A 20,776-nucleotide genomic window follows, 5' to 3' on the forward strand; every position below is an offset into this window, starting at 1 on the left:
TTCTAATGCTATAGACCACAAACAATTAAAAATACAGACAGGAGCTTTTTGTTATCATTGTCATTTTCATTATTTTACTACTTTATTCAGTGCTTACTGTGTGCTAGATGCCCACTGGAAGCTTATAATTATGATTTATTATATATTGATTATGTGCCAGACATATGAGGAATGAAAGTTTTGGAAAAAAGTAGGTATGATTTAAGGTAAGCATGCAGAGAGAGAAGAATTTTTCTAGGTAAAGAAGCAGAAGAAGAATGTTTGGCAGAAGGAACATGCAGCGAGGTCGTGTGTTTGCCAGAAGGAACATCTAATGAGATTGCCTGTTTGGGAGGAAGAGCAGCAAGTGCAAAAGACAAGATGCTTGAGTGAACATGGCAGGGTTTCTGAGCAGTTCACTTTTGCTAGTACCAAAAGTGTGAGATACCAGAAGTTGGGAGTGAGGTGAATACTTAGCTAAGGCAAGTTTATGATATACTTTTTAATACTATAGAGATGAGTAGGTCTTATCCTGTGTGCCATGGGAAATTTACCGGGTAGAATGCTTTGGACTGCAAATACTAGATGAACAGTGGCTAAAACAGTAAGAACCAGAGTTGTTTTGGTTGTTCTTTGATATCCTAGGATCCCACTTTTCCCTCTTTCAGCTGTGCTGTTGGCAGTGTTTTATTCACGTCTCCTTTCATGGTTGGCTAATCCGCAGCAGCTCCAAACATCTTGTTCTCACAACACAACATCGCAAGGGCTGCTTTTCTTCACATGTGTCTTTTAAACAGGGAGAAAACTTAGAAGCATGCAAGGGGCTTCCTGTAACATTTCATTGGCTGGGTCACACCACATGCTCATTCCCAAACCAGGCACTGGGAAGGTAAATACCTGATTAGCTTAGAATAAACATTTCTGTTTCTGAGGCTGAGGAGGGGGATTGGGATAATAAATATCCCAATAGACTTGGATTTCTTCTTCAAGAAAGAATAAGGAATGGCTATTGATAGGGAGCCAACAATGTGTGCTGCAGGGGCTCATTGGAGAAATTTGAGCAGGGGAGTCACAAGATTAAATTTGAGTATTAAGGCATTCTGGTTATGGTGTAAAACGGGTTAGCAAGCTTTTTCTGTAAATGGCCAGGTGGGCAATATTTTAGACTATGTGGTCTCTGTCATATCTACTTAACCCTGCTGTTGTCTGCTGTTGTAGTGTGAAAGCCACCATGATTATATGTAAGCAAACAGGCATGACTGAGCTCCTATAAAACTTTATTTACAAAACCATAAGGCAGATTGGATTTGGCCTGTGGCCTATAGTTTGCTGGGATTGATGGAAGGTTCTTTACCCTGTAAAGAAACCAGGAGACAAAGGAAGTTTTTGCAGTAGTCAGCTATAGTTTCCTTGTCATACATCCTTGGAGTAGCATCAATGTATTACAAGGTTTTCACCCGTCCTTAGTGAAATACATAAAGTTAGGAATCTCAACTACTTGTTTTAATATGTTGGCCTTTGTTTTTTTGGTGTTATGCTTTTTTCATTTGTTTTGCTTAATTTTTTTTCATGTAAGAAATAACATTAATAGTTGGCAGGCTTTTTTTTAAATAAAAGCCATTTTGTAAATGTTTGTGTTCCCAGTGGCAGTGGGAATATAAAGCAGAGGCAGAAGAGAGGTATCGTCAATATGATTTAGTAATAATTGAATGAGAAAGCCTTGGGGGACAGAGAGAAATGTCAGATAATTTCCAGGTTTCCAGGTTGTACAGTAGTATTTAACCTGGATGTGAGGAAGAAGGAGGAAATTTTCTGGTGAATACCGAAGAGCAAAGAGCAGCAGGTCAGCAGGAATGACTAATGTTTTTCTATGCATGTTTAATGGAAAATTCATGTAGGATATTTTGAGTAGGTAATTGGATAACCAGCATTTATAACTCGCATCCTACTAGTTTGACTCTCACTAATAAGACTTGTCAAAGATCCAAGAATCTGAAAGTTGATGATAAATGTCCATGTGTATCACCATCAATGATCAAAAGTTAGCATCCACAGACATAGAATGGGACAGATGAACTTAATGGATAAAGATGAATATTGGAGTTGTTCCTTTTAGGGAATGATACTCTCCATGACCTGTGTGAGTCACAGCTGCCAGAAAAGAGCGAGCAAGGAGCATATGAAGGCAGCACAGCAAATTCAGTCCTAGAGTGCCCTGCTTGACTTCATGTCATAGTTCTGACTTCTAAAAAATCATTTTCTGCAAAATACACTTTGATTTTTTCCCCGCTTGCAGCCTGCAACCAAACAGAATCCCTTTAGCAGGGCATTTTTGTGTTCTTCCTTTAAACAAAGCAATATATAAATAACAAAATGAAAAAAGAGAAAGAGTGTTTTTTGTATAGGCTAGTATTTAACATAAACTTGAGAGTGAGTACCAGGATTATAGTTAGAATTTACGGACTGGGTAGGAAGACTGGATAGAAATCTAAAGATTGCTGACTCAAACACAATGTGGTTTCTTTGCTTTATTGTCACAGCTCTGAATTCACAATTATTAGTTAAATTCATAGGCACTATAACTTTAGAAATCACCTTCCCAAACCAAGTATTAAGTGATTTATTATAATTTCTCTGACTTCTTATAGAATTGACTTTCCAAGTGTTCATGAGAATTATTGAGAATTTGCTACATAGTATCATCTCAGCTGTGTCCACATGAGCTATCTGTCACCTTGTCTTAATGAATAATGGTTCACTAGGAATATTGGTTTTGGCATTTAAAGTGATCTATATCTAAATGCAGATAGGATCAGGGACCTCTCTTGAACATTAATGTCCAGGCATCTTAAAATTACACATAAGGCTTTCATAATCTGACTTCTGCCCCACTCTCCATCTTTAGGCCTTTTCCCTGTGTGCCCTTTCTCTGGCATTACTGAGCTGCTGGCAATGCCCTACTCACTCATCCTGCTATTGTAGGCAAATATTTTCACTCTTTCAGGCCTCGCTCCCGCTCTTGCTGCTGTGTGGCATGCCGTCACCCTTTCCTGCCCTCTACCCCTTTTAATCTGGCTAGTCTCAATATTTAAGTCTCTGCTTGGGCATGTTTTCTAGAAAAGCCATCCCTGACATGCTTTATTTTAATTGTTTTTAAACCCTAATGCCTAGCATGTATTTAGCAGGACTCAATAAGAAATTTCTGAGTAAAATGTGAGTAAGATGATGTGCAAGACTGTCCTCTGCAGTCTTGGAGCAGACGGGACAGACATGTGGAGGAATAATGTAGAGTTCAGGTGGTAAAGATGCAGTAGAAAAATCAGTGAAGTACTAAGGCAGCCTCAAGGAAGGAGGTACCTGTTTATCTGGGGAAAGACATGCAGAATCAAGGAAGACGTTCTCATAGCATTGTTTTAAAAGATAAAAATAAGGATAAGTGTGGTGGCTCACACCTCTAATCCCAGCATTTTGGGAGGCTGGAGCAGGCAGATCACAAGGTCAAAAGATCAGGACCATCATGGCCAATGGTGAAACCCCATCTCTACTAAAAACACGAAAATTAGCAGGGCCTGATGGTGCATGCCTGTAATCCCAGCTTCTCCGGAGACTGAGACAGGAGAATCGCTTGAACCAGGGAGTGTCAGAGGTTGCAGTGAGCTGAGATTGCGACACTGCACTCCAGCCTGGTGACAGAGCAAGACCCTGGCTCAAAAAAAAAAAAGAAAGAAAAATGAAAATAAATATGTCCGAATCGTGGAGGGAAACATTTTAGATATTGGGAAGACATTGTACACTAATAAAGGTGTCAGTAGTAATTTTTGAAATCATTTGTAAGGTACTATTGTTGCAGAAAACAGGAAGCAGGAGAGACCAAGTGGGTGAAACAGGAGGATTTCATTTAGGTTCGCACCAGCTCAGCGGATTTGCATCCGAAAGCTGAGCCCTGAACAAAGACAGGGCTTGGCTTATGTAGGCAAGCTTACAGAAGCAGAACAAAGGCAGTTAATCATATAGTGACAGTTTTGCAACCTCAGCGTAGCTTATGACCTTGCAGCTGCATTGAAGGACAACAGGAACTTGCAAATAATATGCATTTGTAAAAACAGCTCTGAGTGAATGCTGAGGGGAAGGGGAGACAGTAAAGGATTTTGTTTTCTTAACCTTGCTGTGGGATGTCTGGAGCCCATACCTGTGGGCTCTGGCTTTTCAGGCAGGGTCACCATGACCTTTCCTGGGCCCTGCTTGTTACTATCCTTAGAGTCAGACTAGCTAAGTGCAGGAAAACTTGTTTCTCTTTAAAACTAAATTTCCTTTTCTTTACATTTACTGCTTCACTATTAGGAAGTGGAGAACAACATACTGTGTTACCTTATATGTTTCTACTGTATTTTAAAGTTGTGTTTCTGGTGGTTTTGTTCATTTATGTTGGGTGGATGAATTTGTGAGTGAATGACATCAGGTGTCTCCCCAAGTGGTTTGTTGAAGTTTGGGAGAATTATTTCCTAAATAACTATTTCATGAAAAACTAAACACTCAATTTATGAAATAAAATGTTGTCTTAAATCTATTTTTATAAAGGCAATAGTTTTTAACTGTTCTAAGTGGTTCATTTTAACTGAATATATGGATTTCTCAACAGAACAAGACTTAAAGCTGACATCAGAGGAAGAGTCACAAAGGTTCAAAGGCAGTGAAAATAGCCAGCCAGAGGCATGGGAAATTTTAAATTTAAATTTTTGATTTAATGTTGTTTTCTTTGCTTTAATAATATTAGATAGTCCAAATGAAATTACCTTTCAGACTAGGTTTTGAGAATCAATAGATTTTTTAAAGAATTTTTTAATAGATTGTTAAAATTTATTTTAATAAATTCAGTAATCTCATTAACAGAAGAATGGATTCTAATTTAACATTTGATATTTAACTTAAAAAACATAACCACTATAAAATTTAAAATACTCTTATTTTATAATATTTTTATTTAAAATATTCTCATCTGCCTTTTTGATTAGCTTATAGCTAATCTTTCCTTTTGGAATAGAGGCAAAAACAAATTTCAGAACTTTGTTCTTTTATTTTTACAACACCCGAACATGATGAAGAAGGTACATCAATTATTGGATTATGTTATTAAGCAATAGAATTATGAACAATGTAACTCTGATGGTCCCTGAGCTGGATTCATGGTTAAGGAGTAATCATGGCCAGTGATTGAAAATCTGCAGTTTTATATTGTCAGTCACTGATACCAAGCTTAAAAATATATTCTGCCTTATGGTCTCTCATTGACCTCAGCGTTTCTGTTCAGGGAGGGAACCAGGTCATAAAAGCAACACAGCTGCCTATTACAAGAATCATATCTTGCAGAATGGAACCTTTGGTGTTAGTGCACAAACACAATAACATTCTAATTTATTTCAGTTGCAGAAAATTAGTACATATTATTAAAAAATCTTTATCCACTGTAATTAGTACACATTAGAATATATTAGAACTGGACTTAAGCAGATAATCTGGATACATAACACTATCATATGACAGTATATAATCTCAATTAAAATTGGAGAATTTGCATCTCTTTCTGTTTGGTGTTGATTTCGGCTCCTAATAATTTAAATGGTGCCTACAATCCAGTTAGGAATCTTTTAGAAAAGCACTTCAGTGCACTGTAGGGGCTCACTTGTTAGGGTTTCATGAGGTAAACTCTTTTCAAGTGAGGAAGGTTTTGGAATACTACAAATCATCTGCTGATTCATTTTTGGTAGATTTAACACATAACAAGTTTAGTCCAAACAAATGGTGACCAAGTTAAGTTTGCTGGTTCACGTTTTTTTTCTTCCTTGGGCTAAGGTGAATTATTTTTCACATGTTAGTCAGAAGCCAGTAATGTGGCAGTAGCTAAACATAGATTAAAAAGTTAATTCTTAATTTTAATTATTATTTATTTAACAGTTAAATTTTAATTTTAATTATTTTCTAATTTTTCATCGTCCATACTTCATTAGTTAAGAATAAAATTTTTTTAAAACATGCGCTCCAAAAGAGGAGACATCACAGAAACACAACAAGCAAATTAACCTTCTGTTTTTGCCTCTGCAGAAAATGTCTCAAGAACCAGAAATAAATAAGGATGGTGATAGAGAGGTATACCTTCATATTCAAATGTTTCTGTTGAATTAGATTTTTACATTATGTTGTTTAACAAAATGTAGTAAGTGTAGGCATACATGATCCTATCATGTAAGTAGCATAAATCATGAGTGAAAAAGTTAATATTTAACTCAGAAAGAATTCTGTACTTTGAGTTTTCAAGAGATACAAACCCTAGAGATATTCTTTGATTATTATGGAACAATCCTGAATGGTGCCATAAAATGCTAGGTAATGCCACTTTAGGAGCTTTGGACCAATCATTTTATCTTTCTTGGTTTTAGTCTGATTATCAATAGATAATGTGGCTAAAGAAGATAGCTTCTTATTCTGTGTATCTTCCAGCTAGATAATTGTATGGCTATTCAATGTGAAATTTGGGGAGCATCTCATTTTCTGGAATTCCATGCTTGCACGTCAGCAGTTTCACTCTGCTTCTTGTGTTTTGGCAAACTTTGGCTCCCATTTTCAGTGAGCACCATCATGTTTTTGATATCTCAGCAACCAAATGAAAAAAGAATGCTCAAAGGCAGTGGGGGAGAAGAATATCTTAGCGCAGAAAAGGGCAAACTTCCTTTCTATTCCTGAAGCCGCACAGTGTGTCATCCTCTAAATCTGACTGTTTAATGTAAAATCTAGGTGGTAAAGACAGAAGACACATTTTGCATCTTTGTCTTTTTATTTGCGTGTTCCCATGAGTCAAATGGGGTAAATACATACATAAGATTCTGAAGAGTGATTGAGAATAAAAGCACAAAATGAAGGAGGGCCCTTTTTGAATTTTGGAAAATTCTGTTTCATTCATTGAAACAGAAATGAAGCAAACTTTACAAAAATTTCTGTGATATATTAATGAGATGATAATTACATCTTAAAGTTATATGGTAATATTTCTATATATATGATCAAATTTAAGTGTGAAATATTTTTAATGACTAAAATAATGACAAACTGAGTCAATTGATAGAATCAATTAAAAAGGTTCTTTTTATTCAATAAAGTGATAACTATCCTTAATATCCCACTCAAGGTTGAAGAAGAAATGAAGAAGCATGAAAGTAATAATGTGGGATTACTAGAAAACCTGAGTAATGGTGTCACTGCTGGCAATGGTGATGATGGATTAATTCCTCAAAGGAAGAGCAGAACACCTGAAAATCAGCAATTTCCTGACAACGAAAGTGAAGAGTATCACAGGTAAGCCTATGGCAACATTGAACAGGAGATAACTATGTGCTGTCAAACTAACCCTAGTTTGGGCTAATATTCATGATGAACAAATTTTATAGTTTTACTAGGATATTCAGCCTTGCCCATTAATCAGAAAAATGAAAATCAGCGAACAATGAGTTACCATTTTTCCAGTCATTAATTTATTTGAAAAATAACCAGTATTGGCAAATGTGAGGGAAAAGGCATTTTCTTTTCTTTTTAGTGAACTTTTCTTTTAGTTTCAGGGGTACATGTGCAGGGTTATTATATAGGTAAAGTGTATCATGGAGATTTGGACGGCAGATTATTTCATCAGCCACATAATAAGCAAAACACCAAAAGTTAGTTTTTTGGTCATCTCCCTCCCGCGACGCTCCACCTTCAAGTAGACCCTGGTGCCTGTTATTCTCCTCTTTGTGTCCATGAGTTCTCATTATTTAGTTCCCACTAATGAGTAAGAATATGTGGCATTTGATTTTCTGTTCCTGCATTAGTTTGCTTAGGATAATGGCCTCCAGCTCCATCTGTGTTGCTGCAAAAGAAATGGTTTCATTGTAAAAGACATTTCATACACTGCTGGTAAATACATTTTGAACATTAATTTAGTAGCATATTCACAAACACATGTATAACAATAAGGATATATAATATATGTAAAGGATATTTGTGTAGATTTGTTACATATATACTTATGTATAAGGACATTTATTACAGCATTATTATATCAAAAAGATGGATCCTTATCAATAGGAAATTATCATTATCAAAAGTAAATCATTACCAATAGGAAATAGCTCAATTTTCATACCCAGAAATTAATGTAGTATGCAACCATTTTTTACAAGTGAGGTTAGATCTAGAGTATACTGATTATTTCACAATTAAAGTGTATTTAAAGCATCAGTGATGACATCTTAAGAGTTCTTGTTAAAATTCTTGTAATATTTCCTGTGTTGCAAATGGAAGCTACATGCTATATTGACGCTGTACCTTGTTAGCAACAAGATTGCTAGTTATTAAATTTTTATTGTCAGTGCCTGAGTGCTGAAATATTGGACCCTCAATCTGAATATTGCCAAGGGATTGTACATGGGGATCTGTATTTAATATAAACGTTTCAGTATATTGGGTAAAACTTTTATTAAAATATATCAAAGGATCTTTCATCTGCTAAACCAGGAGTTGGCCAGCTTTTTCTGCAAAGAGCCAGTTAGTAAATATTTTAGGCTTTGTGGACTATATAAATTAATTTATTTTTGAGACAGGGTCTCACTCTGTTTCCCAGGCTGGAGTGCAGTTGTGTGATCATGGCTCACTGCAGTCTTGACTTTCTGAGCTCTAGTGATCCTCCCACCTCAGCCTCTCTACTAGTTGGGACCACAGGTGTGCAACATCACACCCAGCTAATTGACACTATGGACTGTAAAGTGAATAAGCATGGCTGTGTTCCAAAATACTTGACTTACAAAAACAGGCAGTGGGCTGGATTTGGCCCAAGGTGCTAATTTGCTGACCCTTGTGCTAAAAGGAAGGTGCTGCAAGTGAAGTGACTCTTATTTGTAAAAGTGCCCTGCGTGTGTGAAATTATCCTTCCTTTGAGAAAAGGATATATTTCAGTATTCACCTCACCATATTTTTCCACAGTGACTTCATATAATTTTAAAAATTTCATTTATAAAATAAGATTATTGTCTGCATTTCTCCCACTTTATTCCTGTTAATAGAACCCAGTATTTTGCTGTGATCAATTACTTTGTATATTTGATGAGTATCAGTTGTCCTAGAATTGGCTGATTTTATCAAGCAAGAAATACTCTCCTTGAAACTTTTAGTATTTCTTGGTCTTTATGCATAAGCATGAATAAAATGATAATCAGCTTATGTGTAATCTAGAAATGTTCAAGGCGACTTTTAGTTCTATAGTTTTAAGAATTTAACACCTCAGTCTGGCATTTTTAATGCCACATGTGTATAATTTTTATAACCTTTAAAATATATTATTGTTATATAAAATTTGAAAACTACACCTGTTATATAAAACTTGAAACTATTTGTCTATTACTTTTCCATGACTGTGGAAGAAAATTACAACATTCTCAGTCATGACTCCTAAGCATGATGTCCTTAAAAGAACTGTCCACACTCACGAACTCAAATTTTCTTTTCATTCACTCTTAATCTCACACCGGCGTCTTCAATTTCAGCAGTCCTCCAACATTGTTTTTCCTCAAGATTATCACAATTTTTTTCTGTAAATTATGCATTTTTTCTTACACCTCATTTTATTTAATCTGTCAGCAATATTTGAGCCAGTGGAGGGCGTCTCCTCCCTAACGGCGTCTTCACTTGGCTTTCAGGACCTCACTCCCTCAAGCTTTTCCTCCTGCATTTCTAGTCCATTCATCATGGTCTGTTTTGCTTGCTCCTCCTCATCTTTCTCCTTTTGGACATTGTTGTTTCCCAGGGCTCAGTCCTCAATCTTCTTTCTCCTGACTTTTTCTTTTTCTTTTTTTGAGACGGAGTTTGACTCTGTCCCCCAGGCTGGAGTTCAGTGGTGTGATCTCAGCTCACTACAACTTCTGCCTCTTGGGTTTAAGTGATTCTCCTGCCTCAGCCTCCTGAGTAGCTGGCATTACAGGTGTGTGCCACCATGCCTGGCTAATTTTTGTATTTTTAGTAGAGACAGCATTTCCCCATGTTGGCCAGCCTGGTCTCAAACTCCTGATCTCAGGTGATCTGTCTGCCTTGGCCTCACAAAGTGTTGGGATTACAGGTGTGAGCCACTGCACCCGGCCCCTCGTGACTTTTTCTATTATGTATATGCTAGTGATTTCCAAATGTATGTCTCCAGCTCAGATCTCTCTCCTTAATTCCAGATTTCTATATCAGCCTGCCTACTTGACGTCTCTATTTGGTTAGTTATTGGGTATCACACACGTGTCAGATCCAAAATTGGGCTACTGATGTCCTTCCTGAAATCTACACCTCATGTAGTCTTTCCTATTTTGGTTAAGGGCAACTTTTCCAATTGCTCTGCCAAAAATGTCAGTGTCATTCTTGACTCATCTGTCCCTCTGACACCTCATATCTAATCTTTCAGTAAATCTTGTCAGGTCTACCTGAAGAATATGTCCAGAAGCCAGTCATATCTTGTACATCTGAGCCACTGTCATCTGCAGTCTAGATGAGTGTCATAGACTGGGAATTGATCGTCCTGGCTTTTAAAAACTTCCCTTTTCATCAATTCTTAACTCAGTGGATGTATTTAAAACATAAGTCAAATTGTGTCATTCCTCTGCCCCAGCACTTCTGATTGCCTCCTTTTCACTCTGAGTATGGGTCAAAGTTCCTCCTGATTATCTCCCTTGCTCTGCTTCAGCCACACTGAATTCTTGCCATCCTGTATCTACCCCTAGTGCTTAAAGACTCCAGACACACCTCTGTGCTTGGCAGTTCCCTGTGTCTGGGATGCTTTTTCCCCAGATATCCTCCTAGCTTACTCTTTCCATTCCTTCAGTTCTTTATTTAAAACCACCTTTCTAAGAAGAAGAAAAGGGTAAAAAGAAACACATTAAGGAACATCCACTTTCTGAGGAAGAACCGTGTACTACCCAGACACATCATGCTTAAGATGCAATTGGGAGCATACAAGGAATGCTCTCTAAGGTAATCAAGGCAAGGTTCAATGAAACAAAGTGATTTATCATCTCTAACTTCAAACCTATTTGTATCTTGACATCAACGCTGTTAACCTTATGTCATCGTTTCTTAGAGTCTTTGATATACAAATAAAAGGTTTTTTGTATTAGAAAAAAAAAAACCCTTTCTCAGCAGAGACTCTTCTGGCCATCTCAACTTTCCCACCACCCTCCCCATCAAACACATAAACATTTCATTTTCCTGCTTTAGTTTTTCTCCTCTAACATACCGTATATTTTGCCTTATCTGTCTGTTGTTATTGTGTGTTTTTCTCACTGTCATGAATAGGGTTTTTATTTTTCACTACCATATCTTCACTGCTTAGAAAAAGGCTTAGCATATTGGATGTAGCTACCTAATAAATACTTGTTAAATAAGTGAATGGAGTTTATCCTGTGTATATTGTTTGATTGATTCTCACTTTAAAAATGTTTGACGTAGGTCGGGCATGGTGGCTCACACCTGTAATCACAGCACTTTGGGAGGCCAAGGCAGGCGGATCACGAGGTCAGGAGATCGAGACCAGTGAAACCCCATCTCTACTAAAAATACAAAAAAATTAACCGGGTGTGGTGGCATGCGCCTGTAGTCCCAGCTGCTATGGAGGCTGAGGCAGGAGAATGGCATGAACCCGGGAGGCGGAGCTTGCAGTGAGCCGAGATCGTTGCACTGCACTCCAGCCTGGGTGACAGAGCAAGACTCCGTCTCAAAAAAAAAAAAAAAACAAGTTTGACATGGTTCTTTCTAACAGTTTTGCCTGGTAATTGTCTGCATTTTTAAAATCGTTTTGGCTCTTTATAATAAGCTACATTGTTTATATTAATTTTTTTATTTAGGGAGAAAAGCCCAATATTGTGGTTATTCACTATTTATTCTTTAATAGTAATCATAATTGTAATTATGGTAAACTGAGTCAGAGGAATTGCAAACTTTACTATTTTATTTTATTTTATTTTATTTTTTTGAGATGGAGTCTCGCTGTATCGCCCAGGCTGGAGTGCAGTGGCGCGATCTCAGTTCATTGCAACGTGGGTTCATGCATTTCTCCTGCCTCAGCCTCCCAAGGAGCTGGCCCTCGCATAAGGCGGCCACACAAATTTTTGAAGCATTCTATATTTTGCGCAGTCACTGGAAGGTCATTTGACTGTTTGCTGAGTAGCTTTAAGGAAATGGTGTGAATCAAAGCAGAATGGGTGCCACAAAAACATTGAAATTGTGATTTGCGCAATAAAAATAGTCATGTAAGGTGGTCTGTGAGATGACACCAGAGCCAAATAACGTGTGGGGTGTTGTGTACAAAATATATTGTTAGTATGTATGTTAAAAATTAGAGAATGCCAACTTGCAACTTCTTCGTGGAACCTAAAAAAAAAAATAAAAGTAGGGTTTTCATCTCCCATGTCAGCTGGAGATGAACATGTATATAAAGCATCATCGTAACAAACATCTGGCTGAGAGTTTGAGTCTGTAGAGAAGGATCATTGGTCCAAGTCAGGTCTTAACATCCATTGGTTTTTCTGCCCTTGGCGTGATTCATCAACTCCGTAATAGTGGACAATCACATTATCTACTTTAATGAGATATTTATGAAAAAATTTAGTTACAAACTATGACATAGTTGAGATGCCCTGAATTAGAAGCCATAAAGAGTAGGACAGCTAAGAAGCAAAATTAGGACTTAATAACGTTTCCTGAAAACTACAACATTTGCATATTAGAACCTATGAACAAAATTCGCACTGGGTTTTATTTGGGATTCCAAGATAATTTCAGTCATAAAGTTTAGGAACAAATTATTCCATTGTTTTACTATTTCTTTGAGCATTTAAAAAAATGTTATCTTGTTAAATCATTATAACAACCTAGTAAAATAAGGCAGCATAGTCCTCACTTTGTAGAAGAAGACATTAAGCCTAAGAGAAGCAGCTTGTTCAAGAGCAAATAGCTGTTCATTATGGAGCTAGGACTTATTTAGAGTTGGGACACTTTCTATTATGTCAGGCTAACGCAAGTTAATTTACTGGGTCACAGTGCCCTCGATTTATGAGTATTTCATCTTACTTTTTTTTCTTCTTTAATTAGAAGCTTCATGAGAAGTTTGTAGAACGTACGCATAAGTGGATGGGATAATACTGTTAAGTTCTGATATTCTGATATTGTTTGAAATACTCTAAGAATTTTACATTTGGTAAGTTTCCAGATCAGTATTTTAAAACAGTAATTTTATTTGTTATATTTTTATACATAGAATTTGCGAATTAGTTTCTGACTACAAAGAAAAACAGATGCCAAAATACTCTTCTGAAAACAGCAACCCAGGTAAGACTTGTGATAGTGAATTACTTTAGGTCAGTTGTCCACAATCTTTTTGACACCAGGGACCGGTTTTGTGGAAGACAATCTTTCCATGGGCTGGGGGAAGGTGGGGATGGTTTCAGGATTGTTCAGTCACATTACACTTATTGTGCTACTTTATATTATTATTACATTGTAATATATAATAAAATAATTATACAACTTACCATAATGTAGAATCAGTGGAAGCTCTGAGCTGATTTTTCTGCAACTAGATGGTCCCTTCTGGGGGCAAAGTGAGACAGTGACAGATCATCAGGCATTAGATTCTCATAGGAAGCACACAACCTAGATCCCTCAGATGGGCAGTTCACAACAGGGTTCATGCTCCTATGAGTATCTAATGCTATCACTGATCTGACTGGAGGCAGAGTAGAGGCTGCAATATGAGCCATAAGGAGTGGCTGTAAATACAGATGAAGCTTCCCTGGCTTGCCTGCTGCGCACCTCCTCCTGTGTGGCATGGTTCCTAACAGACCGTGGACTGGTACCAGTCTGTGGCCTGGGAGTTGTGGAGCCCTGCTCTGGGAGGTCCTACCATAGATTTAAAAAGTAAAAGTAAGGAATTTTTGTTCACAAAAGAACAGTGAAGCACAGGTCATGTTACATATGCTTGTGCCAACAAGGTCTCACTATTACTGACTTCATTCCTCCTGTTTTGAAGTTGAAAGAGATGCATTTACTTTGTTGGAACAAGATGTGTTCTTCCACCGGCTGGTTAATTGTCATGATAACAGTAATTTTGTTAGAAGAAGGTGCTCTGCTACCATTTGCCAAAAGATTGTCATAATGTACAATTTTCCCAATGCAAGGGTCAGCAGATTATAATAAAAATATAAAAATGTTTCACAGTAACAAAAATGCTAGTATGCTACCTGGATGTGGACACCTAATACATGGTACAATCCAAACTGTATGAGGACACCTTTAATTTGGCTACCTATTTATCAAAGAGCTTCTGTAAGTTAGGTTTTATAAGTTGCAGGAGACAAGATGGAATAGATGTAGTTTTAATCTTTAAGGTGCTCACAACAGAAGTGTTTCTATTTCATTTCTGTGGTTTTTCAACAGAATTTACAAAGAAAACATTTTTATTTATGTTTTCACTTGTCCACTTAACAAATAACTGTCAAATGTCTTTTAGATACTAAGCAGTTTTTCTAAGGCTACAGAACACAAAAACACAGACAGGAGCTTGTTATTATTATCATTGTCATTTTTATTATTTTGCTGCTTTATTCAGTGCTTACTGTGTGCTAGATGCCCACTGGAATCTTATAATTATGATTTATTATATGTGATATTGATTATGTGCCAGACATATGTGATGAGGAGTGAAAGCTTTAGAAAGAAAGGAGGCAGGATTTAATGTAAGCATGCAGAGTGAGAAGAATTTTTCAGGGAAAGAAGCAGAAGAATGACATTTGGCAGAAGGAACATGGAGTGAGATTGTGTGTTTGCCAGAAGGAACATCTAATGAGATTGCCCATTTGGGAGGAAGAGCAGCAAGTGCAGAAGACAAGATGCTTGAGTGAACATGGCAGGGTTTCTGAGCAGTTCACTTTTGGTATTACCAAAAGTGTGAGATACCAGAGGTTGGGAGTGAGGTGAATACTTAGCTAAGGCAAGTTTATGATAGACTTTTTAATACTATAGAAATGAGTAGCTCTTATCCTGTGGGCCATGGGAATTGACCAGGTAGAATGCTTTGGACTGCAAATACTAGATGAGCAGTGGCTAAAACAGTAGGAACCAGAGTTGTTTTTTTATTCATTGATATCCTAGGATCCCACCTGTCCCTCTTTCAGCTGTGCTGTTGACAGTGTTTTATTCACGTCTCCTTTCGTGGTTGGCTAATCCGCAGCAGCTCCAAACATCTTGTTCTCACAACACAACATCGCAAGGGCTGCTTTTCTTCACGTGTGTCTTTTAAACAGGGAGGAAACTTAGAAGCATGCAAGGGGCTTCCTGTAACATTTCATTGGCTGGGTCATACCACATGCTCATTCCCAAACCAGGCACTGGGAAGGTAAATACCTGATTAGCTTAGAATAAACATTTCTGTTTCTGAGGCTGAGGAGGGGGATTGGGATATTAAATATCCCAATAGACTTATGTTTTTTCTGCCAGAAAGAATGAGGAATGGCTATTGATAGGGAGCCAACAATGTGTGCTGCAGGGGCTCATTGGAGAAATTTGAGCAGGGGAGTCACAAGATTAAATTTGAGTATTAAGGCGTTCTGGTTATGGTGTAAAATGGGTTAGCAGGCTTTTTCTTTAAAGGACCAGGTGGGCAATATTTTAGACTATGTGGTCTCTGTCATATCTACTTAACCGTGCTGTTGTCTGCTGTTGTAGTGTGAAAGCCACCATGATTATATGTAAGCAAACAGGCATGACTGAGCTCCTATAAAACTTTATTTACAAAACCATAATGCAGATTGGATTTGGCCTGTGGCCTATAGTTTCCTGGGATTGATGGGAGATAATCATGCAAAGAAACCAGGAGACAAAGGAAGTTTTTGCAGTAGTCAGCTATAGTTTCCATGTCACACATCCTTGGAGTAGCATCAATGTATTATAAGGTTTTCACCCGTCCATGGTGAAATAAATAATGTTAGAAATCTCAGTTACTTATTTTACTATGTTGGCCTTCGTTATGCCTTTTTCACTTGTTTTGCTTAATTTTTTTCCTGTAAGAAATAACATTAATAGTTGGCAGTTTTCTTTTAAATAGAAGTCATTTTGTAAATGTTTGTGTTCCCAGTGGCAGTGGGAATATAAAACAGAGGCAGAAGAGAGGTATAGTCAATATGATTTAGTGATAATTGAATGAGAAAGGCTTGGGGGACAGAGAGAAATCTCAGATGATGTACAGGTTTCCAGATTGTACACTAGTATTTAACCTGGACATGAGGAAGGAGTAGGAAATTTTCTGGTGAATACAGGAGAGCAAAGAGCAGCAGGTCAGCAGGAATGACTAATTTTTTTCTATGCATGTTTAATGGAATATTCGTGTAGGATATTTTGAGTAGGTCATTGGATAATCAGCATTTATAACTCACATCCTACTAGTTTGACTCTCAGTAATAAGACTTGTCAAAGATCCAAGAATCTGAAAGTCAGTAATAAATGTCCATGTGCATCACCGTCTGTGACAGAAAGTCAGCATCCACAGAACACAGAATTGGGACAGATGAACTTAATAGATGAAGATGAATATCAGAGTTGTTCCTCTTAGGGAATGATACTCTCCATGACCTGTGTGAGTCACAGCTGCCAGAAAAGAAAGAGCAAGGAGCGTATGAAGGCAGCTCAGCAAATTCGGTCCTAGAGTGCCCTGCTTGGCTTCATGTCATAGTTCTGACTTCTAAATAATCATTTTCTGCAAAATGTGCTTTGTGTTTTTCCCTCTTGCCGCCTGCAGCCAATCAGAATTTTTTAGCAGGACATAATGAAAAGAAGTAAGAGAAAGAGTGTTTTTTTGTATGGGATAGTATTTAACGTAAACTTGAGAGTGAGTACCAGGATTATACTTAGAATTTATGGACTGGATGGAAAGACTGGATAGAAATCTAAAGATTGCTGACTCAAACACAATGTGGTTTCTTTGATTTATTTTCACAGCTCTGAATTCACGACTGTTAATTGTATTCATATGCACTATAACTTTACAAAGCATCTTCCCAAACCAAATATTTACTGATTTAGTATAATTTGTATGACTTTATTATAGAACTGACTTTCCAAGTGTTCATGAGAATTGTTTAGTATTTGCTACATTGTATCATCTCAGCTGTGTCCACATGAGCTATCTGTCACCTTGTCTTAATGAATAATTGTTCACTAGGAATATTGGTTTTGGCATTGAAATGATCTATATCTAAATGCAGATAGGACCCGGGACCACTTTTGAACATTAATGTCCAAGCATCTTAAAATTACACATAAGGCTTTCATAATCTGACTTCTGCCCCACTCTCCATCTTTAGCCCTTTTCCCTGTGTGCCCTGTCTCTGGCATTACTGAGCTGCTGGCAATGCCCTACTCACTCATCCTTCTATTGTAGGCAAATACTTTCACTCTTTCAGGCCTCGCTCCCGCTCTTGCTGCTGCGTGGCATGCCGTCACCCTTTCCTGCCCTCTACCCCTTTTAATCTGGCTAGTCTCAATATTTAAGTCTCTGCTTGGGCATGTGTTCTAGAAAAGCCATCTCTGACAGGCTTTATTTTAATTCTTTTTAAACCCTAATGCCTAGCATGTATTTAGCAGGACTCAATAAAATATTTCTGAGTAAAACAAAGACTGTTTTTACAAAGATGATGTGCAAGACTCTCCCCTGCAGTCTTGGAGCAGAGGGGACAGACATGTGGAGGAATAATGTACAGTTTAGGTGGTCAAGATGCAGTAGAAAAATCAGTAAAGTACTAAGGCAGCCTCAAGGAAGGAGGTACCTGTTTATCTGGGGAAAGACATGCAGAATGAAGGAAGACTTCACATAGCATTGTTTCAAAAGATGAAAATAAGGCCAGGTGTGGTGGCTCACACCTGTAATCCCAGCACTTTCAGAGGGGATCACGAGGTCAGGAGATCGAGACCATCCTGTCCAATGGTGAAACCCCATCTCTACTAAAAATACAAAAATCAGCTGGGTGTGGTGGTGCTTGCCTGTAATCACAGTTACTCAGGAGACTGAAGCAGGAGAATCACTTGAACCAGGGAGGCGGAGGTTGCAGTGAGCTGATCATGCCACTGCATTCCAGCCTGGTGACAGAGGAAGACCCTGACTCATTAAAAAAAAAAAAAGAAAAAAAGAAAATAAATTTGTCAGAATAGTGGAGGGAAACATTTTAGATATTAGGAAGATGTTGTACACTAATAAAGGTGTCAGCAGTGATTTTGGAAATCATTTATAAGGTACTATTAGGAAGTGGAGAACAGTACACTGTGTCACCTTATATGTTTCTACTGTATTTTAAAGCTGTGTTTCTGGTGGTTTTGTTCATGGATGTTGGGTGGATGAATTTGTGAGGGAATTTTTGACATGTTTGTTTGTCTTCAATCTGGTGACATCTGGTATCTCCCCAAGTGGGTTTTTGAAGTTTTTGAGAATTATTTCTTAAATGACAATTTCACAAAAGATGAAACACTCAATTTATGAAATAAAATGAAATGTCTCAAATCCGTTTTTAAAAGGCAATAGTTTTTAACTGTTCTAAGTGGTTGATTTTAACTGAATATATGGATTTTTCAACAGAACAAGACTTAAAGCTGACATCAGAGGAAGAGTCACAAAGGCTTAAAGGCAGTGAAAATGGCCAGCCAGAGGCATGGAAACTTTTAAATTTAAACTTTTGTTTAATGTTGTGTGTTTTTTGCCTTAATAATAGTAGATAGTCCAAATGAAATTACCTTTCAGACTAGGCTTTGAGAATCAGTAGATTGTTTTTTTAAGAATCTTTTGGCCAGGCAAGGTGGCTCACGCCTGTAATCCCAGCACTTTGAGAGGCTGAGGCAGGTGGATCACGAGGTCTGGAGATCGAGACCATCCTGGCTAACATGGTGAAACCCCGTCTCTAGTAAAAATACAAAAACTTAGCTGGGCGTGGTGGCGGGTGCCTGTAGTCCCAGCTACTCGGGAGGCTGAGGCAGGAGAATGGCATGAACTCAGGAGAGGGAGCTTGCAGTGAGCCGACATCCACCACTACACTCCAGCCTGGGTGACAGAGCGAGACTCCATCTGAAAAAAATATATATATATATTTTAATAGATTCTTAAAATTTATTGTAATAAAATCAGCAACCTTGTTAACAGAAGAATCAATAGATTCTAATTTAATATTTGATATTTAACTTCAACATAACCCACTATAAAATTTAAAATACTCTTATTTTAAAATATTCTTATCTGCCTTCTTGATTAGCTTATAGCTAATCTCTCCTTTTGGAATAGAGGCAAAAACAAATTTCAGAACTTTGTTTGTTCTTTTATTTTTACAACACCCTAACATGATAAAGAAAGTAACATCAATGATTGAATCATATTATTAAGCAATAGGAATTATGAACAATGTAACACTGATTCCCTGAGCTGGATTCATGGTTAAAGAGTAATCATGGCCTGTGATTGAAAATCCACAGTTTTATATTGTCAGTCACTGATACCAAGGTTAAGGACATATCCTGCCTTGTGGTCTCTCGTTGACCTCAGTGTTTCTGTTCAGGGAGGGAACCAGGTCATAAAAGCAACCCAACTGCCTATTACAAGAACCATATCTTGCAGAATGGGACCTTTGGTGTTAGTGCACAAACACAATAACATTCTAATTTATTTCAGTTGCAGAAAATCAGTAGAGATTAAAAAATTTTATCTGCTGTCATTAGTACACATTAGAATATATTAGAACTGGACTTACGCAGATAATCTGGATACATAACACTATCATATGACAGTATATAATTTCAATTAAAATGTGAGAATTTGCATTTCTTTCTGTTTGGTGTTGATTTCGGCTCCTAATAGTTTAAAGGGTGCCTACAATCCAGTTAGGAATCTTTTAAAAAAGCACTTCAGTGCACTGTAGGTGCTCACTAGTTAGGGTTTCATGAGGTAAACTCTTTTCAAGTGAGGAAGATTTTGGAACACTACAAATCATCTGCTGATTCATTTTTGGTAGATTTAACACATAACAAATTAAATTTAGTCCAAACAAATAGTGAGAAAGTTAAGTTTGCTGGTTCATGTTTTTCTTCTCCCTTTGTCTAAGGTGAATTATTTTTCACATGTTAGAAGCCAGTGATGTGGCAGTAGCTAAACATAGATTAAAAAGTTAATTCTTAATTTTAATTATTATTTATTTATTTTAACAGTTTAATTTTAATTACTTTCTAATTTTTATTGTCCATACTTGATTACTTCAGAATAAAATTATTTTAAAAACATGCACTCCAAAAGAGGAAATGTCACAGAAATACAACAAGCAAATTAACCTTCTGTTTTTACATCTGCAGAAAAGATCTCAAGAACCAGAAATAAATAAGGATGGTGATAGAGAGGTATACCTTTATATTCAAATGTTTGTGTTGAATTAGATTTTTACATTATGTTGTTTAACAAAGTGTAGTAAATGTAGGCATACATGATCCTATCATGTAAGTAGCATAAATCATCAGTGAAAAATTAAATAGTTAACTCAGAATTCTGTACATTGAATTTTGAAGAGGTGCAAACCCTAGAGCTATTCTTTCATTATTATGGAATAATCCCGAATGGTGCCATAAAATGCTAGGTAATGCCACTTTAGGAACTTTAGACCAATTATTTTATCTTTCTTGGTTTTAGTCTGATTATCAGTAGATAATGTGCCTAAAGTAGATAATT

General features: G+C 37.1%; 1 protein-coding gene across 4 annotated transcripts in view; it reads left to right on the forward strand.

Moving 5' to 3' along the window:
- POTEJ (POTE ankyrin domain family member J) overlaps positions 1–20,776 on the forward strand; it is a 46,960-nt gene that overhangs the window by 14,253 nt on the left and 11,931 nt on the right. For 2 of the 4 annotated variants that reach the window (XM_017004741.3, NM_001277083.2), the window contains 6 exons: positions 4,619–4,689; positions 6,079–6,123; positions 7,160–7,326; positions 13,289–13,359; positions 18,653–18,723; positions 20,407–20,451. In XM_017004741.3, the coding sequence (XP_016860230.1) occupies positions 4,619–4,689; positions 6,079–6,123; positions 7,160–7,326; positions 13,289–13,359; positions 18,653–18,723; positions 20,407–20,451 (470 nt within the window). The remainder of the gene's footprint in view (positions 1–4,618; positions 4,690–6,078; positions 6,124–7,159; positions 7,327–13,288; positions 13,360–18,652; positions 18,724–20,406; positions 20,452–20,776) is intronic. The other 2 variants (XM_017004742.2, XM_017004743.3) reach the window with 2 other exon arrangements.

The sequence above is a fragment of the Homo sapiens genome, chromosome 2 (genome assembly GCF_000001405.40).
Source record: "Homo sapiens chromosome 2, GRCh38.p14 Primary Assembly".
Lineage (NCBI taxonomy): Eukaryota > Metazoa > Chordata > Mammalia > Primates > Hominidae > Homo > Homo sapiens.